We start from the raw sequence: 26298 nt of genomic DNA, 5'->3' as shown, positions 1-26298 counted from the left end.
CGGGGCTGCTATGACAAGTAAATGAAATAATATATGCAAAGTTGTTAGAATTAGATCTAGCACATAAGATCTTAAAATGTCAGCTATTGAGCTGGACATTTTCTTTCTTTTCTTTTTTTTTGAGCAGAGTCTCACTCTGTCACCCAGGCGGGAGTGCAGTGGTGTGATCTTGGCTCACTGCAACCTCTGCCTCCCAAGTTCAAGCGATTCTCCTGCCAAGCCTCCTGTGTAGCTTGGATTACAGACACACACCACCACGCCTGGCTAATTTTGTATTTTTGGTAGAGATGGGGTTTCACCATGTTGGTCAGGCTGGTCTCGAACTCTTGACCTTGTGATTCGTCTGCCTCGGCCTCCCAAAATGCTGGGATTACAGGCATAAGCCAGTGCGTCCGGCCAAGCTGGGCATTTTCTAATAGATTCTCACAACTCTAAAAGATAACTGGTTTTCCATATAAACAGGTACGTATTGCACACATGCATTTTATAAAAGATATCTTGGTTCAGTAAATAATAGCATTTGTCTAAGTGTCTGTTGATGGCTGAAGGGATAAAGAAAATGTGGGACTTTTGTTTCCCACTACTGAGGCACGGGGATCCAGTGTTCCAACCCAGTGGGAAAACGCAGCCTTTGACTAAAGAGGAGACCCATGTAATGTTTGAGGAGACTGTGAAATACATTAGGGAGAATCTCTAGCTGCCAGCTGAGAGGCTCAATGGCACCTACTGTTCTCGGCTGCACAAAGGCCAGGTGTACTACGTGAGTGAGAAGATTCTGAAGCTGGCACTGATATCTGATTTCCCTGTGACCTGCTTCAGAAAATTCACCAAAACCTACAAGTTTCAGTTGAACATCACAGCTCTGGATTACCCTGCACCCTATGCCAAGTATAAAGTGTGGATAAAACCTGGAGCACAGCAGTCCTTTCTATATGGAGACGATATGTTGAAATCTGGTCTGAGTCAAATCATGAAAAATACTTCTCCTGGCCAGGAAGTGGTGGTGGCAGACATCCCTTTGGGTTTTGGGGTGGCAGCCACATCTACGCAAGACTGCAGAAAAGGAGACCCCACCGATTTGTGGTATTTCATCAAGCAAACACTGGTGAATATGTGTGGCATGAAGAGACGGTGACTTAAAATGAAGTCACTGCAAGGACTTAACAGTGGTGTGGAAAGGCCCAGCTTTGTTTCCTGTGTTTGTGTGTATTCCACCATCGGGTTGAATTTTGTCAACACTATGACCTCTTCAGGTCTTCTTAGTTTATATACTATCCATCACGACAAACACAGGCTGGATTCTTCTTGTACAGAAATGGCTCAAAATTGGGGTTTCAGATTTTTGCATTTGTGACTAAATATTCTGTTTCGTATCTGAATCTGAGGGCTTCTTGTTCTGAGTAACAGATTCCAAACCGTTGGAACTAAGGCCAAGAATAGCTTATTGTTATCTGTGATAACACTTTGTTTTCCAAACTCATGATAACAGCATATGGATTTTTATCTGTTTATTAATATGAAAGATAGATACTGCCATATCAGAACAGTAAGTCACATCTGAGATTTCACAAATGAAATTTGACTCAAATAATAACAGCAATTTATAGTAAGTGTTATGTGGTGTGGAAGAAAAACTTGGGTTCAAACCCCAGTTCTGCCGCCTACCAGCTAAATGACCTTGGATGAGTCATTCCACTTAATAAGCTTCATTTTCTTCTTTTAAAAAAAACCCCACAAAACTTAAAAAAAATAGCTATAACCATCTACCTAAGAATGGTTTTTAGAATTAGAAGAATCATGATTATAAAGCATGTAACACAGTGCCTGGGAAATGACAGGTGTCAGCCCCCTTGTCCTTTAAAAAAAAAAGTGTGCATATTACATACATACACACCAACATGTAATATTATTCAGCCTTAAAAAAGAAGAAAATCCTGCTATTTTTGACAACATGGATGAACCTAGAACACAATATGCTAAGTGAAATACACCAGACACAGAAGGACAAATACTGCATGATCTCACTCATACGTGTAACCTAAAAAAGTCAAAATTCATAGAAGCAGGGAGTAGAATGGTGGCTGCCAAGGGCTGCAGAGTGGAGGGTCACAGGGAGATGTTTTTCAAGTGGCACAAAGTTTCAGTTACGTAGGATGAATAAGTTCATGAAATCTAATGTACAGCATGGTGACTATAGTTCGAGATACTGTATCATATACTTAAAATACGCTAAAAGAGTAGGTATTTAAGTGTTCTCACCAATGTAATGGATATGTTAATTAGCTTGATTGTGGTAACCATTTAGCAATGTGTGTGTATGTGTGTATATATATATATATATATATATATATATATATATATATCTGAAAATATATTGTATACCATAAATATATATACTTTTAATTTATCACTTATAACTCAATAAAGCCAGAAAAAAAATTTTTTAAGCTGAGTATTTGTGAAACTATGACCAGGGATGGGTATGTTGATCCACAGTTTAGAGTACTGCCAGCAGCATATATATCAGGAAAAAAAAATGTTTGTTAGTTGAATTAAAGTCCAATGAGTCTAGAGTAAATATTAAATATAGCTCGTGCAAAATGCTTTTGGTAATAGAAGTTATATTGTTCATCAAGTAATGAAATGGAATATTACCTAAGATTTTAATGAGAAAAAAGTTAATTTTGTCCAAGCATAACTTTGCTGAATAACAAGCAGAACTGAGGGCTCTACCAATATTATCTAGAGAACTCACATGGAGTTGTTAAATAAAAAGGTGGGGGGGGCGGTTATGGATGCTACAGAAAAAAAATGAAATATCATTTTCTAGTACTTACTTGGATTAGTATCTCTTTCAGCTCTAATATTCGTATTTTAATGATATTGATGCAATTCTCCAATTTTCATTTTATAAACTTGAATGTTCTAAAATATTTATCTAATACTCACAACCCAAATAATAACATCTTCCCCCTTTAAGGGTCATATATGTATTTCCATTCAAGAGAAGATGCTAACAGGTAGGCTGAGCAGGGAAAGAACTAATAAATGATATCAGTAGTCTGTGAGCCCATTTTTATTTCCTGGCATATAATATATTTTTAATACATTGAAGAGTTGAATAAATCAATGTATCAATAAGTAAATGGGGTACAGATGAGTAAAAGATAATGGGAAAGTGAAGCATAGCTATGTCTAAAAAGTTATTTGTTGCTCTGAAACTTCATAGTTCAGGTTTCTGAGATATTTAAAGAAATCTCTCTAAACTCCCAAGATTCTGGGCTCTTCTCCTTTTTCTTTCCATCTCAGGCCCAACCTGAACCTACCCTCTTACATCTATATCCTCCTACCATGCCTACTTTCAGAAAAACTGTCTTTGAAAAATCTCTGAAATTCTAACTTATTAGCCAGCCAGTAGAACAATTTAAGGTACACACTTACTAGAACAGCAACCACGGTTATTTTCTTTTGTGAAAACTACTTTGGGAAGAAGTTGTTAATACTAGGACCTCTACAAGAATTCCAAGTTATTATTTTAAGGTAAGGAAAGGTTTGGAAAGACTCAGGTCCAAACCAGCACCATGCGAATGGCCCTATCCCTGGGCATCCACAAGCATGAGGCAAACCATCCACCTCAATAAACATGGAAATCTGATGTCCTGACGCTCTTAGTTCCTTCATTCAGGGACATTTATAAGGTCTATGCCTTATAACAGGCACTACTTGTATAGAGTGGATTTTCAATAATAAATAACCCATAGTCCTTGAATTACGTTCAGGAAAGAGTATAAAGTATGAGAAAACACCATTTCATGATTTGGAAGATAGATTCACACAGACACTAAAGAAGTCAGAGGCCATAAGAGGCTTTGGTGTCTGGCGTTTATCTCCATGAGTCTACAGCAGGAAGTAGCTCCTGCTCCAGATTCCTAGAACCCAACCTGGCAACTGGTATACATAGAGGGTCAGAAAAAGTCTGACAATTATTTGAGAAGACTGTCTAATATCAGAGATATTTACCTCTTTGACACCAGTATGGTCATCATCACCAATCACAATTGTGGAGCATTCCCAAGCACTGTTTTGCCACTTATGTGTCATTTCACTTTCCAAAGATCCTAACATATAAAATTAAGAGAAAGTAGGGGAAGATGACAGCATGTCTAAACTTCCGCCTGATTAGCATCATAAGTGGCAAGAGTTATTTTTGACTCATAAGTTATTAAAGATAGTAAGAATTTCAGCACTAATAAGATCACTGGGGGAAAAAAACCACTATTAATGGTTATTATATCTCTATAGTATATACATTTTATTTTCTATTTGTTACATTTTTCCCAAATAGCAATTACCTTTAAAATATGAAAGAAAGCAGGCAAAGAGGAAACCAGGGTGCAAAAAGGCCAGGTGATCTGGTCAGCATTACTGGTGGGCAAGAGGCAGGAACCAGGGATGGCAGGAAGACTCACTTAGCATCTTTGCACTATTAGGGAAGAGGTCTGTGGGTGAGGTAACACAATTATTTGATCAATGGCTAAACAGACAAGGGCCCAGCATTACTGGGATGTATTTTCATTGTTAGTATGATTAAGTTAAATAGCTGCATAAGTATCCGTTTTGACGATGGGTTTCTTGGTGGTCTGTGTTGCCACACAGACCCTACAGGTACTCAGGTGCCCTATAGGTACTTAATATTCTACAGGTACTCGTGTACCCTACAAGTACTTTACTTTGTACACTATAGATGGTGACTGTGGAGTTGTTCTCAAGTACGATGGCAAACAGAGGAACAAAGAGATCTAAATAAAAAGTGTTACCCTGTGACTTCTCTAATTAACACTTTAATTTGCTATAATTTCTCCTTCCAACTTAGCAGAAACTGCATGTGAAAGCTGAAGTTGTAAACAGAGTAGGAACTAACATGTGTGAATGGTTGAGAACCCATTGGGTAGCCAAGATCCCTGAAGATCTTAGGTCAAGGGGCCAAGACATTCTATATTTTTAACTCAGCTGGGTTACTATGGAAAGCAGGTGATGTCATTAAGCACTTGGCGCACGAAACTATGAGCTCTTCAAGTAATGTAGCAATTTGTGTATAACGGAAAACAGAATATAAAGCCCTTGTTAAAACTTTGTAAATGACTCTCAGTTTTTCTTGACCTGATCTGACGTTTCAGGGGTTTTTCATAAACACCTGTTTTTATGCATGAATTTCTCTTTTCAAACTCTCAGCAGGTATCTAACCACTAAAGCACATTAGACTATTTACACAAATAGATCATTTTTAGCTTCTGGGCTCTATAATGGCACCTAAGAATGTTCTTTTAAAATTTTTTCAAGAGGAATGAGGTACAGCAAGGTGGTGGTGGAAGGTGCCCTGACTAAACTTCTCGGCACTTTTCCCATTTCTACCCTAAAAGGATGAAGGATTAGAAGAACAGGAAAGTCAGTATCCTGCCAGAACAGGGGGTGAACACATTAGCCCAGTCGCTGGTGTTTTCCCTCAGTGGGCTCTCTCGCCAACAGCTTGTCACATCAGAAATGTAACTCAGTTAAACATTAGGCCAGGGGATGTGCATAATAAACTAGTTTCCTTGTCTGAAAAATAAAATGATTGATGTGGATGAACTTTCCTGCCCCTTACAGCTGAGTCTATGAAAGAACAATAATATTCTGAATAAAGACATATGTACCTTAAAAGAAAGTTTTACATGAAAAAAAAAACTCATAAGCAAATTAAAAAGACAAATAAACTGGGAAAAATATGTGAAAACTATATCACAGAACAGAGGTTTAAGTTATAGAACATGTACAGGAAAAGTAGGCTAGAGAAATGGTCTAAGCTATATGAAAAGATACTCAACCATGCTTTCAGTAAGAAGAATGAAAACTACAACTAGACTGAGATTCCAATTTTCACCTCTAAGGTGGACAAAAATTAAAAAGTTCAACAAAATCTAAACAACATATCCTGTTGGTGATGCTGAGGGGAAACAAGGCCATGAATCCCCATTCTATGACTCTCTCCCAAAGACATTCAGGCTACATATACACCCACACACAAAGTTATTCACTATAAAGTATTTGTGTTAAAGACATGGAATCAACCTAAATACCCATCAATGATAGACTGGATAAAGAAAATGTGGTACATATACCCCATGGAATACTATGCAGCCATAAAAAACAATAAGATAATGTCCTTTGCAGAAACACATGTGGTGCTGGAGGCCATTATCCTTAGCAAACTAATACAGGAACAGAACACCAAATACTGCATGTTCTCACTTATAAGTAGGAGCTAAATGATAAGAAACCATGGACACATAGAGAGGAACAACACACACTGGGGTCTTTCAGAGGGTGGAGGGTAGAAGGAGGAAGAGGATTAGGAAAAATAACTAATGGATACTAGGGTTAATACCTGGGTGATGAAATAAACTGTACAATAAAGCCCCATGACACAAGTTTACCTATGTAACACACCTGCACTTGTACCCCTGAATTTAAAAGTTAAAAAAAAGTATTTGTATTGGCAAAAGACAGGAAATAACACAGATGTCCACCTATAGGGCAATGGTTGAAAAAACTATGGTGCATCTATACAATGGAGTACCATGAAGCTGTAAAAAGGAATGCAGACCATCTTTACACAATGTTCTGCAATGATCTCCAATATAAACTGTTATCTATAATAAAGCTGCAGTTCAGGTCAAGAAAAACTGAGTCATTTACAAAATAAAGTATGTACACTGTGATGCCATTTACTTAAGAAGTTGGGAGGGATATAAATGAATAATACATTTTTTAATAAAAAGGATAAATCAAAACAATGTTTTAAAAATAGTTACATACAGAAGGAAGGTGAAACACAGGGTGGATAGGTCAGTAACAGAGGCTACCCTTCTCTGAATATTCCTTGTTTTATAAATTTGACTTCAGAAATATACAATGTTTGCTGGAGCTGGCTTATATTGGCTCTTGGTGAATGTTCAGGTATTTTGTGATCGGGTTTTCTGGAAACTGACCATACCACGGAGATCAGCAAACACATCTCCTTCACCCTCAGGTTGGTTGTTAAACATATATCCGAACACCAGAGAAAACATATGTACTTTATGAAAGTATAAAACAAATTAAATTTAAAAAGAGCATTCATAAAAATTGAAAGCAAAATGAAACAAACCTAACAGTGAATTGAGTGGGCAGTATTACCACATTGAATCAACTGTGTCATGTGACTTTACAGCACAGTAATGCAGCTCTAGTGAAAATACCAAAAGAATTGCAAACATAATCAAACGGCTTATATTTTTTTTCAATATTCTGGTACGAATATTGGTATTTTTATTTTGAGAAATTGTGAGTATCATGGAATAAACAAATGAATAACTATATTACTGGCATGAGTACTAGGGTTTTTAGCATGGGACCAAGCAGCTACAGATACAAGATTGAGGTCATTAAGTAAACACCTGTGGTCCTGAATGTGCATTGGCTACATCAGTAAAATGTTATCATATATCTTATATTTAATGAACACCCTGTGCATACGTTTCTTAGCTGTTCACTAGATAGAATGACCAACCCAGAAGCAATGTGCATCCCTAGGACCCAGACATCCAGGCACTCAGACTGTGGTTTCTATTTCCCACAAAAGAAACTAAGAGTCTGTGGAGAAATGTCTTATTGTAGATCTGGGCCACGAAAGGTACAAAACATTAGAAGGAAAGAAGCTATAAAAAAAACTACTGGGATCATGGTCAAAAGAACTCAGGAGCCAACTGGTAGAGGAGAGGCTCTCACTGGCCAAAAATGGGGAAAAAATTCTGAACAATAGTAAGATTAATAAGTGCCACGGACTGAAACACATACAATACATTATAAACTGAATGTTTATAATGATAAACACACACACTTTCCTCACTACACCTGTGGAGGATGCTGGGAGCAGCTTATTGTTCTAAATGCTGGTAAAGGCATTTCTCCTGCTTTTTCTATACACACTGTACTTCAGGGTAATCAAATAGTTGATGAAGGGGTGTTTTTCTTTATAGAGAATATCCTAGCTAATAAATAAAATACAAATGATAAAATCAGAATATCATCATTTTATAACCTATAATAAAATATTGACTGTAGGCAATTACCAATGTCCAGTAACACCAAAGAGACACCAGCAATTAAGGGCTTCCTAACAGAAGTATATCATACCACTCTCTGTAAAGGGTTCTTGCCAAAAAATGTATTTGTGTGTGCTGTATCTGTGTGTGAGTGAATGTGTGTATCTCAAACCTGAAATCAGATGAAAACTCTAGATTTAACTACCAATCTCCACAGTAGCAAGTTAAGTGACAACAAATTCTAGATCACAGGAAATTGCATGAGACAGATGACACGGCTTTTCAACAAATAAACTGCAAGGGAGTAAAAAGTGACACAAGACACCTAGAGTAACAGGTTTAGTCCATTTTACACTACTATAACAGAATGCCACAGACGGGGTAATTTATGATGAACAGAGCTTTATTCGGCACACAGTTCTGAAGGCTAGGAAGTCCAAGAGGATGGCACCGGTATCTGGAGAGAGCGTTCATGCTGTAGTATCGCATGGCAGAAGGCAGAAGGGCAAAAGAGGGCAAAAGTGTGCAAGAGAGCAAAAGGGGGCCGAGCTTGCTTCTATATAAAGCCCACTCTCACAACAACTAACCCATTCCCACAATAACATTAATCCATTTATGAGGGCATAGTCCTCGCAACCTCATCACCTCTTAAAGATCCCACTTGCCAAAACTGTTACATTAAGAATTAAGTTTCCAACACATGAACTTTGGGGGATACATTCAAACCATGACAACAGGGATATATGAATCAACCTAATTTCAACAAACAATTTATCAATCAATAAAAAATATATGTGGATATGTATGTATGTGTTTCTATATAATATAGACATGTGTATACATATGTTTGTGTATATACATGTCTATATATGTATGTGAACTACAGGATTTGATGATATTAAGAAATGGCTGATTTTTTAATACGATGATGACATTGTTTTAAAGAAAAAAGACTCCTTCTCTTCTGGAAAAATATACCAAAATATTCACAGGTAAATTGGTACAATATATGGGATTTACTTCAAAATTTGAAGGAGTGGTGAATGAAAAGAGAATTGAGTGACAGCGAGTTGAGATCAGTTTGAATGACAGGCATATAGGCATTTATTGTAACTATTCTCACTACTATAAAAGACAAGTTTTCTGTAAAAAAGTTTAAAAAGCATATGAACACAAATAACAAAAACCAATGTAACTAATATTAACAAGGTGGTAATAGAACACTGATATCAGACTATACATTCTAACTTAGGAGGCCATCATGATCACCTGAGGAGCTTCATGAAAATATAGTCTTTGAACCACCACTATTTTAATGAACCTCAAAGGCTGAAGGAATTGTGCATTTCCCTCAGGACAGCAGGAGTGGGGAAAAGAGGCTGAGAACCACTGTGTAAACACTTTAAGGGTATAGAATATATATTATTCACCCAGTATTTATCTTAATGTCTAACACTTAAGAAGCACTTAAGAAACATAAGGTGAATTAATTAACGATCCACAGATGTACAAATGAATAGGCAAGCTTAATAGTAGCTAACTGCCAGATGTGAAAAAAATCATTATTCATATTTGATATTTAAAAAAATTACTCAGGTTATAGAGTTTAAAGAGTATGGCTCTCTGTTTTGAGTGGAATGGGTTTCCTTCATAAAGCCACAGACTAGTCACTTCAAACAGCTACAAGTAAACACCCAGAGTAAAAATAGTTTTAAATACACAATTGGGTGGGGTGTGGCTAGAAAATATTCTGATTCTACAATCTGTTTTGGACAAGACAGTGCTTCTTATGTGACTAACAAAGCAAACAGCAGTCAGATTCCTTGTGCTGAAATAAGTACACTATTTGCAAAAAGGGTTGAATGTCCAAGGCTTATTCAATAAGGACACCACATTTTCCAAAACTAAAGGGGAGTATAGAATGACAAATACCCACATATATTTACATATCCCTAAAAGAAGACATACAACCTCCTGGTATGGATTTTTTTGTGTCTCTAATAAGTACTAACTGGAGCCAAGTCTACCATCTGACCATGGAGAACAGCAGAATACCTCAAGCACAGGAATAATCTAATTTTAAAACTGGGAGGAGCTTAGAAACCACCTAGTCCAAACTTTTCATTGTGTTGATAAAAAACAGACACCCAGAGAGGTTAAAGTGAAAGGCTCTGAAAATTGTTGCAATAGCCACAGATGAACAAATGGTATACACAGGGGCATAGCACTATGTATTAAGAGCTGAGAATTAGTCTTCTGAACGTTCACGAGTGATAACTAACAGGGTATCAGTCTCAATTATAAGCAAATAGCAGTATGTGTGTGCATGTGTATCACCATATATACACACAAAATATTAAAATATATATTTTAATAATTCCTTTCAAAACAAATTCAACCTAGCATTCAAAAGCATCCATAAAGTTACCTCACCTACTTTTTCAAAATTGTGTCCAAATGGGCCATAAGCCAAAAGGCAGGTGTTTTCTCTCACTTATCTTTTGTAGTCTCCTACAGATGTAGCAGAGTACATATTATAATTACAAAAGCTATTCCATATATAATTTCCAAATGATGAATTATAAACTTTCCTATTTTGTTATTCTAAACTGCTATAAGAAACATATTTTATATGTATCTATGAGTATTATACAGAGATATATACAACAATGTAAATTTTTTTAATATGGCAATCAACAAAATGCTTACAAGCAAGAGGAGAGAGGCAATGAGATGCCTTATCCATTTACATTTCCATAAAGGGCTATACAAGGCTTTGTTTAAAATACAGAAAATTGCTTGAAGGGGAGAGAAAGGGAAAAGAAAAAGGACAAATCTTTAGTTCATTCACTGGTCAAACTTTCAATTATTTCAATTATTGATTAGTCCTGAATCCATACTACTTTAATTCTGTGGAGGTAGAAAAATGATGTGTCTATGCCTGTGTATGGAATTGTCCTCCTCAACCAGTTCACCTGCATAGTCAATTTGATTTTGATTCAAAACGATGAAATTAAATAAGATGAAAAATTTGGACTCTCAACTTCCCACCTTTATTAGATTTTTTAGGATCCTAAAAACTGATTTTAAAGGCTTCCTAATATTGTTAAACAGAGTCTAACTACCAAAATTGACAACAATAGTGTTTACTTCCACCTTTGAGGGAAAGTGTTTCTAATTGGGATGATTCCTAACTGCAAGTTAAGCCAATAATATTTTTTTTAAGCTGAAAGCAAAGTTTGAAAATTTTTTTCTCCTGAAATAAACACAGCAATCTTATGTAAATTAACATAATATGAGATTATCAAATTAAGGGGTTTTTGCAAACTCTACTGCAACTCTAAAGTAAACCCAAATTTAAGCAAGAAAATCTGAAGTCATTTACTGAATATAGCGTAGTGTTGTGAATAAGGGATCTAAATCCTAAAAGCCTAAAAGTAATTAAGAATTGGGGTCAGCTATTTTCACAAAAATTTATGAATATTAATAGACACATTGATAACTTTATGTAATAACTCAATAATTTAGATGATGGTCTAAATCCAGTACCCCCTTCAAGGAATTTTATCCGCTTTTATGTACTACCACATATTATATAATATCAACCAATTAACATAAGAATGTGCTTTTCAAAAATAAAAAGGGGGTATCATCATTCCACCGTGAACCAGCCTGAACACTAGAGTATTAATTAATAAAATAGAATCACAGACAAAGACGGTCCTTGGTTAAAACTATTAATATATATTTAAGACAATGGGTTTATTTTTAAATAAGAAAACAAGGAAAAGGAGAGCCCAGCCCGATCTTGTGTGCCTACCCAATAGAACTTTCCACCATAATTAGTGCTTACCAACTTTGAGGGGAGGAGCTTAAGCTCAGGGTAACCTCATGTAGTAAGGGAAAAACAGTATAAATACCACTGAACAGCTCTTGAGAGGCACCTTCTGCACTGCTCATCTGGGCAGAGGAAGCTTCAGAAAGCTGCCAAGGCACCATCTCCAGGAACTCCCAGCACGCAGGTAAGCGTACGCTTACTGGTGGACTTCCATGTTAACTTGCTTGGAAAGAAACTTTAAAGATTTAAATACTTGAGTTTTCTCAAGTATTAGAAGTATTAAAGTGATTTAAAAAATGGGTTTCTACTAAAATGCACTCCAAAAGTTCTTTTTGCATCAGTCTGTGGATGATAGTCCCAATAAAACCATATTGTAAAAATTTGCCCTAATCCGAATTTCAGTGTATTTTGAAACTATTAGATATTTCAGGCTATGTCAAAGATCCTAGATTATTTAATACAGACATCCAATCCTAATTTCTGTTTCTTTTCCTTTAGGTAAATCATTTTATTTTCACTTGATTACCTGAGTATAGCTTCCAAAAATAACTAAGACATATATTCACATAACTAAAAAATGATCTCTCATTTATTTATGGCACATATTAAAAATATATAGGATAGGTTAAAAAAGTAGATAACTGTATAAAGAACTCATCTGTGAAACATGAGAATAAAAAAATAGGTTAATAACAATGCTGTATAAAGTTATTCTTTTCTGTTTTTCAGAATCCATCTGAGAATATGCTGCCACAAATACCCTTTTTGCTGCTAGTATCCTTGAACTTGGTTCATGGAGTGTTTTACGCTGAACGATACCAAATGCCCACAGGCATAAAAGGCCCACTACCCAACACCAAGACACAGTTCTTCATTCCCTACACCATAAAGAGTAAAGGTAAATTGAATTGTATATTTTGTTCTATTAACAAGTTGCTTGTTGCTTTCTATAATCTTAATAATCTCTTTAACAAAATGCATTTAACTTTGGTGTTACTTTCCAACTTCTGAATTAGCCCAAATTATTACAACAAAGTGATCTGTGAAAAAAGTAGAACAAGAATATCCAATAAGTGTAGTAGAAAGGATATACTTGAAAATATAGTTGAAAGATATACCTGCAAAAAATCAGAACTTTTGTGTGTACAAATTTTTTTCTCAGATGCTGCTTTTGCACAAATAACTGCATGTAATCCAGAAATCTTGATCTAATCAAAACTAATCAAGTTTAAAAATTTTAAGCTAAAAATAACTGCCAATTGTATAAAGAAGGTAGCTGGTTTATTTAGCTAAATATTAAACATTTACTTTTAAAACTAATTCAACTAGCCCACAAACAGATATAAAACCGAGTCTTATCAAAAAAATCTGATGGCCTCCCCCCCAACAATGAACAAATGTAATTATGAGAATTGCCAAGCAGGCAAATGAAACTGCAATTCTCATAATTACTTATACATTTTGAATATAGTTTAGCGGTAAAATGCAGAGACTTAACTGTAATGCATAAGCTGTGTGACCTGAGGTAAGTTACTTGTCCTCCCATGCCTTAGTTTCCTCATTTGTAAAATAAGGAGCAGCTATCTCAAGGGCTGCTGCGAAGTTTAAATGAATTAATACCTGTAAAGTGCTTTAAGTGTTGCTATTACTTCTACTACTACTTCTGTTACTCCTAGTTTTATTTCTACTACTTTTAGCTACTAATATAGCCTTCAATAAGTTAACTTTCTTCTTGAATCTGTTGCTTACCTGTCCAGTTTTCTTGGTTACTCTTTGAAGATTACTGAGATAATATATGTAAAGCACTAAGGTTCTCAAAGGAGGGCAACTTCTAGGCCTCATATTCACTAATTTTATTTAACAGCAACTGACACGACCGCCTATAAAATATCTACAGAATAATATAAACTGACTGTAGGCTTCAAACTCCCTTTCCATAATTTTTTAATTATATATTTTATACTGTAAATAAAGCTAAGGATATTTGTTATAAAGTTTAAATATTATGCTTTTGGGAACAACCATTTTGAGCAATGAAACTTATAGAATTGTCTTTTTAAGAAGAAAGATGGAATTTAAAATATTTCACAAAAGGAAACTTAATATTTGAAAATAAATGCACAGGTATACAACAGATACTTTTGAATGTCTCAAAATATAAATAAAAATTTTAAAATTTAAAGGCTAGTAAAGAAAAAAATAAAAGACAAAGCAACCTTCCGCTTTACTTGAAGCAACAAACACAATTTGAAATGCTATGACAAACAGCACTGGATTCAATAGTTTCCATGATCACAAAAATCAGACTTTTTAACACCTTAATAAGAGCATAACAAAGTCTTGAATTAAAAAGAAAATGCACTATTTTAGAAGGTTAAAAATACTTTGATCTTCTCTTAATATACACCATTATCTTGGCTACTTTTGCAGAACAAATGAAAATATCTTAACAAATGAAAAGTTCAGAAGCTGTATTTAAACTACTAAATCCACCTTAGTCTCTTTTTAGATAGACACTCAACTACACTATCATCCATTGGCAGACATTAATGCACCATAACAAACACAAAAGCCCACAGTCTATACAAGTAAGACATTAAGTTGAAACAGGAATTCAAAGAGTTATTACATAATTCCTAGGCATATCCATCCAACACAGGTTAAAAAAGAGTTCTGTCAAAACATACTAAATTATGCTGCAGAGGATTCCACAGCTGGTGGGCAGATGCACGTGCCACATTCTGACACAACCAATCACGATTTCAGTTTGTGGCATTTAAAAAACTTAATAGAAGGAAGTAGTCGTTTTACCTTGAGGATTGTGCCACCCTAATCTTGAATGAAGAAAATTTTTTCAGATGACAACCTACAAACAGGGGCTGTCCCCCAAGCATTCAATAGAAGCCAAATTCTTTCTCGCACTGAGAAGTTGAGACCCATTAGGACAACATTCCAAGTGACAAAGTTCGCCCTGTCACTGGAGTTCCAGTCTCGGATGACGCCCAATGCACTCATTTCCATTGACTTGTTTCTCCTTTTTAATAGTAAAACAGATTTCCAATCAGACTAAGACAATTATTTTTAGTGTGAACATGACCCTTATAATCAGATTCTAAAGCAAAGCTCAATCTAACATAGTTGGCATTTTAAAAAATCCACTATTTTATTCCTCCAACCCATTAAAAAATTCCTTATTTATTCCTCTATTTGCAATATATCAATATCCACTTATACATAATATAATCATGTATGTACACTACAATCAATGAAATATTTAATATACGGAAATCTTTTACATAAATTTTTCTCACAGTCTTTTTCCTGATGTCATTTTCTGAAAATCCATGGGGAAAGCTCTATGTATTTATATTAATCAATGTTTTCAAATTGAAATATAACTCTAATTAGTAAAAAAAAATCTAAATCTGAAACAATTATTTTCCTATTTCGGCATATCTATTTTAATGATTCGCTCTGCATTTATATACACCAAATGTTTTCCAAATCTCAGAAACATCTGTACCCTGTGCTTTCCCCATACTTGTGGCCCAGCCGCATTTTTCACATCACAGGCACTATGATTTTTAGTTTAAGTTTAGTTTATCAGGTCAAGTGAACTCACAGCTCTATGAAATCAAACACTATATATTTGTATTTAGGTAAGAACTTTAATACTATTTTATGTACCTCACCTATTATGTCTAATTCTCTAGTTCTTTGTTTCAATTTTAAGTCAATAATGGAGAGTATAAGAGCTCAGAGTATATTCTGAGGTAAAAGTAAATCAACCAAAATCTAACCTGTGTTCAGCAGAGGCATGGCAGATGTAAATCAGAATTAATTCTGTTTCTCTTTTATGTCTGACAGGGTAGCTTTGGGAGGGAAAATTTTTATAGTTCTTAAACATTTTCTCACTTATTCTGCACTGTCTTTTTCTGCCTTTTCTGTACATGATTTTCCCAAAATAAATGTACTAAATTTACCTCCACTGCACTTATTCTAGAGGAATTCTTCAATCCTAGCTCATTTTCATGAATCACTGTCATGGGATAAAAGTATTATGGTAGCCATGGTTTTGTGAAACCATCTTCTCCAGCAGAATTTTTTAAAACAGTATAAAACATATAATCTAAAACCATTTCAGACTGTTCTGTCTACATGGAATAAATGATGCTGAAATATCGTGTCCCAATTCATAGTTTGAAAGGCAATGATTCTCTTTAATGTCACTAACCATCCCCTTCTATGGGTGGGTGTGTTGGGTGTGTCTTTTAGGTATAGCAGTAAGAGGAGAGCAAGGTACTCCTGGTCCACCAGGCCCTGCTGGACCTCGAGGGCACCCAGGTCCTTCTGGACCACCAGGAAAACCAGGCTACGGAAGTCCTGGACTCCAAGGAGAGCCAGGGTTGCCAGGACCACCGGGACCATCAGCTGTAGGGAAACCAGGTGTGCCAGGACTCCCAGGAAAACCAGGAGAGAGAGGACCATATGGACCAAAAGGAGATGTTGGACCAGCTGGCCTACCAGGACCCCGGGGCCCACCAGGACCACCTGGAATCCCTGGACCGGCTGGAATTTCTGTGCCAGGAAAACCTGGACAACAGGGACCCACAGGAGCCCCAGGACCCAGGGGCTTTCCTGGAGAAAAGGGTGCACCAGGAGTCCCTGGTATGAATGGACAGAAAGGGGAAATGGGATATGGTGCTCCTGGTCGTCCAGGTGAGAGGGGTCTTCCAGGCCCTCAGGGTCCCACAGGACCATCTGGCCCTCCTGGAGTGGGAAAAAGAGGTGAAAATGGGGTTCCAGGACAGCCAGGCATCAAAGGTGATAGAGGTTTTCCGGGAGAAATGGGACCAATTGGCCCACCAGGTCCCCAAGGCCCTCCTGGGGAACGAGGGCCAGAAGGCATTGGAAAGCCAGGAGCTGCTGGAGCCCCAGGCCAGCCAGGGATTCCAGGAACAAAAGGTCTCCCTGGGGCTCCAGGAATAGCTGGGCCCCCAGGGCCTCCTGGCTTTGGGAAACCAGGCTTGCCAGGCCTGAAGGGAGAAAGAGGACCTGCTGGCCTTCCTGGGGGTCCAGGTGCCAAAGGGGAACAAGGGCCAGCAGGTCTTCCTGGGAAGCCAGGTCTGACTGGACCCCCTGGGAATATGGGACCCCAAGGACCAAAAGGCATCCCGGGTAGCCATGGTCTCCCAGGCCCTAAAGGTGAGACAGGGCCAGCTGGGCCTGCAGGATACCCTGGGGCTAAGGGTGAAAGGGGTTCCCCTGGGTCAGATGGAAAACCAGGGTACCCAGGAAAACCAGGTCTCGATGGTCCTAAGGGTAACCCAGGGTTACCAGGTCCAAAAGGTGATCCTGGAGTTGGAGGACCTCCTGGTCTCCCAGGCCCTGTGGGCCCAGCAGGAGCAAAGGGAATGCCCGGACACAATGGAGAGGCTGGCCCAAGAGGTGCCCCTGGAATACCAGGTACTAGAGGCCCTATTGGGCCACCAGGCATTCCAGGATTCCCTGGGTCTAAAGGGGATCCAGGAAGTCCCGGTCCTCCTGGCCCAGCTGGCATAGCAACTAAGGGCCTCAATGGACCCACCGGGCCACCAGGGCCTCCAGGTCCAAGAGGCCACTCTGGAGAGCCTGGTCTTCCAGGGCCCCCTGGGCCTCCAGGCCCACCAGGTCAAGCAGTCATGCCTGAGGGTTTTATAAAGGCAGGCCAAAGGCCCAGTCTTTCTGGGACCCCTCTTGTTAGTGCCAACCAGGGGGTAACAGGAATGCCTGTGTCTGCTTTTACTGTTATTCTCTCCAAAGCTTACCCAGCAATAGGAACTCCCATACCATTTGATAAAATTTTGTATAACAGGCAACAGCATTATGACCCAAGGACTGGAATCTTTACTTGTCAGATACCAGGAATATACTATTTTTCATACCACGTGCATGTGAAAGGGACTCATGTTTGGGTAGGCCTGTATAAGAATGGCACCCCTGTAATGTACACCTATGATGAATACACCAAAGGCTACCTGGATCAGGCTTCAGGGAGTGCCATCATCGATCTCACAGAAAATGACCAGGTGTGGCTCCAGCTTCCCAATGCCGAGTCAAATGGCCTATACTCCTCTGAGTATGTCCACTCCTCTTTCTCAGGATTCCTAGTGGCTCCAATGTGAGTACACACAGAGCTAATCTAAATCTTGTGCTAGAAAAAGCATTCTCTAACTCTACCCCACCCTACAAAATGCATATGGAGGTAGGCTGAAAAGAATGTAATTTTTATTTTCTGAAATACAGATTTGAGCTATCAGACCAACAAACCTTCCCCCTGAAAAGTGAGCAGCAACGTAAAAACGTATGTGAAGCCTCTCTTGAATTTCTAGTTAGCAATCTTAAGGCTCTTTAAGGTTTTCTCCAATATTAAAAAATATCACCAAAGAAGTCCTGCTATGTTAAAAACAAACAACAAAAAACAAACAACAAAAAAAAAATTAAAAAAAAAAACAGAAATAGAGCTCTAAGTTATGTGAAATTTGATTTGAGAAACTCGGCATTTCCTTTTTAAAAAAGCCTGTTTCTAACTATGAATATGAGAACTTCTAGGAAACATCCAGGAGGTATCATATAACTTTGTAGAACTTAAATACTTGAATATTCAAATTTAAAAGACACTGTATCCCCTAAAATATTTCTGATGGTGCACTACTCTGAGGCCTGTATGGCCCCTTTCATCAATATCTATTCAAATATACAGGTGCATATATACTTGTTAAAGCTCTTATATAAAAAAGCCCCAAAATATTGAAGTTCATCTGAAATGCAAGGTGCTTTCATCAATGAACCTTTTCAAACTTTTCTATGATTGCAGAGAAGCTTTTTATATACCCAGCATAACTTGGAAACAGGTATCTGACCTATTCTTATTTAGTTAACACAAGTGTGATTAATTTGATTTCTTTAATTCCTTATTGAATCTTATGTGATATGATTTTCTGGATTTACAGAACATTAGCACATGTACCTTGTGCCTCCCATTCAAGTGAAGTTATAATTTACACTGAGGGTTTCAAAATTCGACTAGAAGTGGAGATATATTATTTATTTATGCACTGTACTGTATTTTTATATTGCTGTTTAAAACTTTTAAGCTGTGCCTCACTTATTAAAGCACAAAATGTTTTACCTACTCCTTATTTACGACGCAATAAAATAACATCAATAGATTTTTAGGCTGAATTAATTTGAAAGCAGCAATTTGCTGTTCTCAACCATTCTTTCAAGGCTTTTCATTGTTCAAAGTTAATAAAAAAGTAGGACAATAAAGTGATGGGTGGCTTTTACAGTTGTCATGGATATGTCCCTATATTGGTGATGCATCTTTATTCCCACAGACCCAACCACTCATTGTTGACTGTGAAGAGGTACCCACAAAACCACATGCAATCTGAGTCAGGGTCAAGGGCTGATGACTAGGGATAGAAAAATGACAAAATCACCCCAAAGTTGTAATTTTCTCCTGGGAGGGAAAGAAGCAGGTGACAGAGAAATATGCAGTTTGAACAAATATTCTGCAGTTACTATTTATTGTCTTGACATGTTTTTGGTTATAATATTTAAAATTGTTTTGATGGCTTGAATTACATTTTAAAAAGGCAAGCAATTTTTTTGTCAATCACAAGGCAACATTTTTTCCAAGCTGAAAAATACTACTCTTAAGAATCCATCATCCTATTAGTTTAATCAGGACAATGTGGCTCAAGTCACTGAGGTAACATACTATAAAGGCATCTATTTATTCCTTAGAAGCAATCTTGTGTAATCCAAGCAAAGCTGTGATTGGAAAGGTAAAACTCTGGGCTCAAGATTGGTGATATCTCTGCCCTCACTCTGGGTCAGCCAGTTTTGTTCCTTAAGCAACAAGAACAAAATTTCTGCCGGCAGACATTTTGCCCACCTGTCTATAACTACTACACTAATGGTTACAAGTCACCAACCCTTATGCCCAGGCCATGAAAAAGCAAAACTGGACTTCAATTCTAGGGAACTCACAGAATGACCCTCGTGGCAGGCGTGGTAAAGGAGAGTGTAACAGCACAGCTTGGAATATGGGCAATTATAGCCATGAAAGAAGCACAAATAAAAGGACTTCTGAAAATGTAGTCAGAACCAACTTTATAATAATATTTAAGCTTAAATTAAATCCTAAGTAAGATACACAGCAAAGTACCTACTTTTCAGCTAATTCACTAGACAAACATAGCTTAACAAACACGTATTAGAAGGCCCCTCTTCACAATACTTACCCTTAAAAGCTGACATTTTATAATTGTGTTGTATAGCAGCAACTATATCCTTCCAAAAATCAAATGTTTTTTGACCATTGTTCAGCTGAAAAAATAATTCCAAATGAAACAAACACAATAATTCAGTTTTTAAGCATAGTGAAAAATGCTGGCAAACAATTACAATGCAGACAGTCCCTGACTTAAGATGGTTAGACTTACAATTTTTTTATTTTATAATGGTACAAAAGTGATGAAGATTCAGTAGAAACTTAACTTCAAGTACCCATACAACAATTGTTTTTCACTTTCAGTACAGTATTCAATAAATTACATGAGCTATTCAATACTTTATTATAAAATAGGCTTTCTTTTGATGACTTTGCCCAACAGTAGGATAATGGAAGTGTTCTGAGTATGTTTAAGATAAGCTAGGCTAAGCTATGATGTTCAGTAAACTAGGTGTATTAAATGGATTTATAGTATTTTTGACTTAACGATGGGTTTATCAGGAAAAAACCCCATCATAAGTTAGGGAGCATCTGTATTACTATATTCTGATATAAGTTTATATTTTACAAAACATAATAAAGTTATCATTCTTCTAAATGTAATTTTAAAAAGAAATCTTCCATGAAAATCACTGCTACATATACACATACATATCACTAAATTTTAATATAGCTCATATAGCCCAAATAAAATAAAAATTTCCACTCGTTATAAAGTCTAAAAATTATAGAATATTTTTAAACACAGCAAATTCATAGTGTTATATAATTTCTGGGATATCAGAATGTGTTATATAACATACTATGGCATCAATGGGACTAAGAAGACTGACGCCCTAAAACCCCAAAAGCTAGTTACTTTAGAATTCAGTGCACACTTAACCTGAATTTCGATATGAAAGAGCTGCAAGTCTCAACAGAAGAGATGAATGAGGTTCCAAATCCGAACTGTAAATTGTTTTCATTAAGTTTTTTTAAATCAGAAAGCAAATAAACATTACATTAAAATATACAACCCTATGATCCTTTGCTTCCTTGAAAATGTTAACCAGTGACCTATCTAAACAAAGACAGACTACTAGATATTTATATCTAATTATACAAACTCCAAAATATTTAAAGACTGATACACTTTCCTTGTAGTAACTACCGAATGAGAAACTGACTCCATCTTGTGTTATTAAGATTTCTACAAACATACCCAAACTATTGCTCAATGGAAACTTTCACAACACATAAATGTAATTCTGATTCACAAATAAAGCATTACCTGGGTTCTATTATCAAAATGATAGTAATTATTATTATTATTTTGAGACGCAGTCTTGCTATGTCGCCCAGGCTAGAGTGCAGTGGCGTGATCTCGGCTCACTGCAACATCTGCCTCCCGGGTTTAAGCAATTCTCCTGCCTCAGCCTCCCTAGTAGCTGGGACTACAGGTGCACGCCACCACACCCAGCTAATTTTTGTATTTTTATTAGAGACAAGGTTTCACCATATTGGCCAGGCTGGTCTCGAACTCCTGACTTCGTGATCCGCCTGTTTTGGCCTCCTAAGGTGCTGGGATTACAGGCGTAAGCCACTGCACCTGGCCCCAAAAGTAGTTATTTTTAAAAGACATGCATAAAGGAAAGTGATTCTGACATATAAATCTGTTTGATGTTCATAGGTCTTAAGTCCTAAGGATAAACTAGTATAACCAGAGATCTATTTAATCTTGATATACAGTACAAAAGAAAAAATTTATATTCATTAAATGATGTTCAAAATGGTGAATTTTTAAATTTCATCCGATTTTTCTATTTTATATTATTTAGAATGCTTAAAGACACGCTGAATTTTCTTAATCACCTCTAACTTTTTTATTTTGCTAATGAAACTATTTATTTTGCTAAAAAAAATGTTTTGTCCAGATCCAAGTTCTGTATTTCTTTTCTTTTTCTAAACTTTTGCCCCCTCTGCTGGAGAATAGGTTTATTTTTCCTGAGAGAAAAAAAAAAGGTCACTGCTATTTAATTTTCCAAAAATATTTGAACCAAATTCACCATGTTTTTCTTTCCCAGTCAGCTCTGAAACCACAAAGAAGAAACTAAGCAAAATCACAACTCAGAAGCAATATATAATTAGGTCCTCCAATTTATGACTGACTACATATCATAGTTTTAAAAAATGAGTCCCCACTTACTTTTGTTAAATAGTCCACCACCCTGGCACACAGAAGAGCTCCTGGCAGGTCAAAGTAGTTGTCGTAAAAGTAATACTTTCCTAAAAAAGAACAAAATTTTAAACTGGGAACAACATAATGCTGCATGCATGTGAAATACACAGGAATATGGCTGAAGAGACACTAGATTTTGTTTAATTATCTGAAGAAGCCTCCATTCCAATTCAAAGTGGCACCATTATTGGCTGTCATTGTCTTTTAAGAAAGATTTAAGCTCTGAGGGCACCACAAGAAAGTTAAAAGATGATATCTAGAAGTTAAGCATTGTATTCGAAGATATTTTAGTCATCTTAAAGAATGTAAAAACTAAAAAGAGTATATGCAAAAAATAAAATAGAATATGAAAAAGCCATATGATGTTATCTATGTCACTGAATTTCAAAACAATCAATTTACCTAACCCTGGAGTACCATGAAGCGCTCTATACAATAGTGCTTTTTCAGATTGGTTGGCTGACCCCTCCTAGAGTACTGTATTCTATTTTTATGCCATTTAATTTCAGTATAATGTGAAAAAAACTGGGGTGATAAGTAGAATATAATCATGCCATGTGAAGACACAGTGTGCTTAAAAACTGTAGAGTATAGGACAGGTATATTCCAAGATTTCGTGGAAGAGAGGGATTTGGTTTATTCTGTATGACTTTAGGGTAGAATTACATTTGAGCCCTTCTTTGGCACATGTGACTTTTGGATCTGCTGTCCCTGAACAGACACTTTTGATGACCCATGTCACATCCCCTTGGCCTGCGTCTGATTGCAGCCACTGCTATGCTAATAGCACCATCCCACCTTGGCAAAACTGTGTCGATTCTCTTTCTCCCAAAGGCTCTGGAGCCCATGTGGCAAACTTCACATTTAGAACAGGTTCAGGAACCAGTAAAAGAATGCCCTGCTTCCTGTTCCATGGACAGACAACTCTAGGAGGTATTCTCTGCGCTTCTCCTTGGAAGTCCCAATGGAGTCCAGCAACCATTGTTCCTTCCATGTCTTATCCTCTCATTCCTTCACTCCTGACTACTGGGATCAGGAGTAACCACTCTGCTTTTGAGGGAACCCAACCTCATACAGTTCCCTAGAGAACGCTTGATACAAAGAAGAGTCAAACAGAACCAATAGGTAAAGCCAGATTTTACATTAATAATAAGGTGCTTGAATACATCATTATAATCACCTGATTTTGACTCCCCCCCCCTCCCCCCAATTTGCAAGCTATGTATATGAGGTTATGGAACACACTTGTCTTGTTCTTTAGCGTTGACTGGGCACAGTGTTCAGCATATTCTAAGCACTCAATAGACGTTTGCTGAATGAATGAATGAGTAATCCAATAAGCAAATAGATTACTTTGGAATGCAGAAGTATTATAAGGAAATTAGAAGAAAACCATATGCAGAAGCCAGGGTTCTGTTCCTCTGAATATTGTTTTCTGCCTCTTACTTCTTCCTGTAAATTTATTTTAAAATGTATAAAAAAAAAATCAAAGTTTTCTGTTAGTTCACAAAATGGCTGTGCCAGTTTGTGTCCATTCTCTCAGTTAAAAATATTTTGGTTGATATAGTCTTCCTGTTTTTCATTTTTTCACAGCTTGAATTGTTAGGGGAACCTCTCAGGCTGTTTTTAATTCCTAAGAAAGGTTAGGATGGCTTTGCCAGTGTGAAGAACCAGTGATCTGGAAAAAAAGGAAGATGATATGCCATGTGCTTTTCTGCCTCTGCTTTGCTATGCTGTAGGACTGTATGACACTCCAGGACTCCCAAGACTTAGGACAGTGGGCAAAGCTTCCCAAGGTTCATTAATCTGCACTTTGTCATATCGCTTGGCCTGACACTAGACTGACCCAACTTCATGGTCAGCTGTCTCAGGCACTGTTGGAGCAGGAAGCATCCCAGCATTGCCAGTTACATACCCTTGCTTTTCTCCTCCCATTCTTCTTCCTTTGTGGGTACTAATAGATGAAATTCAGTCTAAGAGTTGAACTATTGATTTTGAGTAAGGGCTGAGTTCTAATTAAATAATTCAGGGGGAACCTAATGAGAAGAGCTCATTGGTTTTCACCCACAATGCAAGAGGCTAAGGTCATTTGACTGTTGAACTTGGGCTGAATGTCCGCTGTGTGGACACAAGGGCTTGTTCAGCCTTGAGCTGTTAACTGGGCCAGGCTGCTTGCAATGCCTCACCCAACACCCAAACTCTGACACTACACCACATGAAAGCTTCAACGTCCACCTCTGTATAGAAGAGACAGCTCATTGCTAATGAAGTGATTAGTGAGCCCAGTTCAACAAAACAAGCCTCTGAATCAAGATCAAGTCCTATAACCATTAAGTTTTACACAGAGAAAAACTGCTCCCCAAGAAACTACTACCAACCCTACTCCCTTTGTCTTAGTGGCCATGGTAGAATGGCAAATGAAGGACTGAGGGGAAAGGAACAATTTATGTTAACAAAGGTTCTCACTTCTGCAAAGGTGGTATTATCTCCACTCAAAGATGAGAAAACTGATGCTAAGAGTGACTTAGTACCAGAGACACTTTATCCAGCAAATAACAGAGCTAATATGATCCAGGACTGTTTGGCACTAAGCCCCTTGTGATTTCCACTAGACCAAGCTGTTTCTGCATAATCTACCATTTGGGGAAGATAAGTTCAAAGGGATTTGCTCTCTGGAGATCAGCTGGCAAGGAACACTGTTCTTATGTTAGGTCAACAACCTGAAAAGAGATTATCAAACAAGTTGTCATCAAACATCTCTACATCCCTCAGTGCTTTAAATTTCCTAAATGTACTGATAGGGCATGTACTTTACAATTCTGTTCTTAACTCTGAGGATTAATATACTTAAAGGTAGAAGAAAGCTACAAATATAAAATCAACTGGAGTTCCTGAAAATAAAGGACTTATTTGGCAATATTTACCAAAATTTTAAACCTGTATATCTTTAGAGCAAGTATACTTCTAGGAGTTTATCCTAGATATATGTATGAAAGTGCAAAATATACATTCATGAAAACATCACCACAGGCTTGTTTGTAATGGTGAAACACCAGATACAACATAAATGTCCATTGCTAGGAGCCTGATTAAATATATCACGATACAGGCACTGAATTGCAGAGCATCCCAGCATTTAGAAGAACTAAGTGTACCTAGTGTGTGTGTGCTGATGCCAGAATCTCTAAGATGTAAATTGAAAAGAGCAAGGTAAATACATAATTCCTTTTGTATACCTTTAAAAAATAGGACAGGAGTTGAAGACAATTACTCTTCCTTCTATTCATTTCTATAATATTTAAATTTTCTAACCATGTGCTGAGATTAATATTTAACGTAAACAAACTTTAATTGGGCTGTGGTATCACAGGCCATTTTTTTCCTTCTTCCATACTTCTCTACATTTAAAAAAACTCATATTATTTTTTAAAGGCATTAGCTCTCCCTCATTTTGCAAAAACAATGGGCCTCTATTATGTGTCACAACCTGACCACTGGGTACCTGGATGGGAAACACTTCCCTAACTAACCCAAGTAGGTACAGATAAACTCCCAGGACCATTCTCAGAAGGCTCCTGACCAAGTAAGTGCCAGATGAAGCTACTGATTCCAAGAGGTGGCGCTCTCTAGTGGGCGAAACAGTGGGTAAACAGATGTGTCTTACTGAGTGAATGCTCTTTTAGCAGCTGGGTACTTTATTCTTTAAAATACTCTGGATTCTTAATAAATTTCAGAGTGAAACACTCAGCTATGTGCCTGGCTTTTCCAGGAGAAAGGAAGAGCCTGTTTACACCTGCCAACATCTGGAGAGACAACAGCAGTTCTCGACCATCATTTG

At 37.1% G+C, this 26298-nt stretch overlaps 2 protein-coding genes and 1 pseudogene across 6 annotated transcripts in view, besides 2 other annotated features; 2 read left to right on the top strand and 1 right to left on the bottom strand.

Moving 5' to 3' along the window:
- COL10A1 (collagen type X alpha 1 chain) overlaps positions 1-19289 on the top strand; it is a 98236-nt gene extending 78947 nt beyond the window's left edge. For 3 of the 4 annotated variants that reach the window (NM_001424107.1, XM_011535433.4, NM_001424106.1), the window contains exons 2-3: positions 12691-12859; positions 16237-19289. In NM_001424107.1, coding sequence (NP_001411036.1) covers positions 12706-12859; positions 16237-18125 — 2043 coding nt within the window. In that variant the 5' untranslated portion in view covers positions 12691-12705 and the 3' untranslated portion in view covers positions 18126-19289. Of the gene's footprint in view, positions 1-12065; positions 12146-12690; positions 12860-16236 lie in introns of those variants that run through there. The other variant, NM_000493.4, reaches the window with a different exon arrangement.
- The window catches only part of NT5DC1 (5'-nucleotidase domain containing 1), a 148645-nt gene that overhangs the window by 111300 nt on the left and 11047 nt on the right, over positions 1-26298 (bottom strand). For both annotated transcript variants that reach the window (NM_152729.3, XM_006715378.4), the window contains exons 5-6: positions 22428-22507; positions 20253-20337 (exon numbers count right to left, since the gene is read on the bottom strand). In NM_152729.3, the coding sequence (NP_689942.2) occupies positions 20253-20337; positions 22428-22507 (165 nt within the window). The remainder of the gene's footprint in view (positions 1-20252; positions 20338-22427; positions 22508-26298) is intronic.
- On the top strand, positions 566-1337 carry NIP7P3 (NIP7 pseudogene 3; annotated as a pseudogene).
- Positions 9738-10032: a silencer, noted in NCBI's record as "tiled region #2872; K562 Repressive non-DNase unmatched - State 24:Quies". NCBI's record gives its function as "represses a minimal TATA promoter and a strong SV40 promoter by Sharpr-MPRA in K562 cells {active_cell/tissue: K562}" and the evidence as "EXISTENCE:reporter gene assay evidence [ECO:0000049][PMID:27701403]".
- Positions 13322-13491: an enhancer, noted in NCBI's record as "experimental_88070 CRE fragment used in MPRA reporter constructs". NCBI's record gives its function as "activates a minimal promoter by MPRAs in K562 erythroleukemia cells, with activity observed for both the introgressed and non-introgressed 6:116445955 variant alleles {active_cell/tissue: K562}" and the evidence as "EXISTENCE:reporter gene assay evidence [ECO:0000049][PMID:34662402]".

The sequence above is a fragment of the Homo sapiens genome, chromosome 6 (genome assembly GCF_000001405.40).
Source record: "Homo sapiens chromosome 6, GRCh38.p14 Primary Assembly".
NCBI lineage: Eukaryota > Metazoa > Chordata > Mammalia > Primates > Hominidae > Homo > Homo sapiens.
Note: the sequence above shows the minus strand (reverse complement) of the source record. Positions and strands in the feature narration are given on the sequence as shown.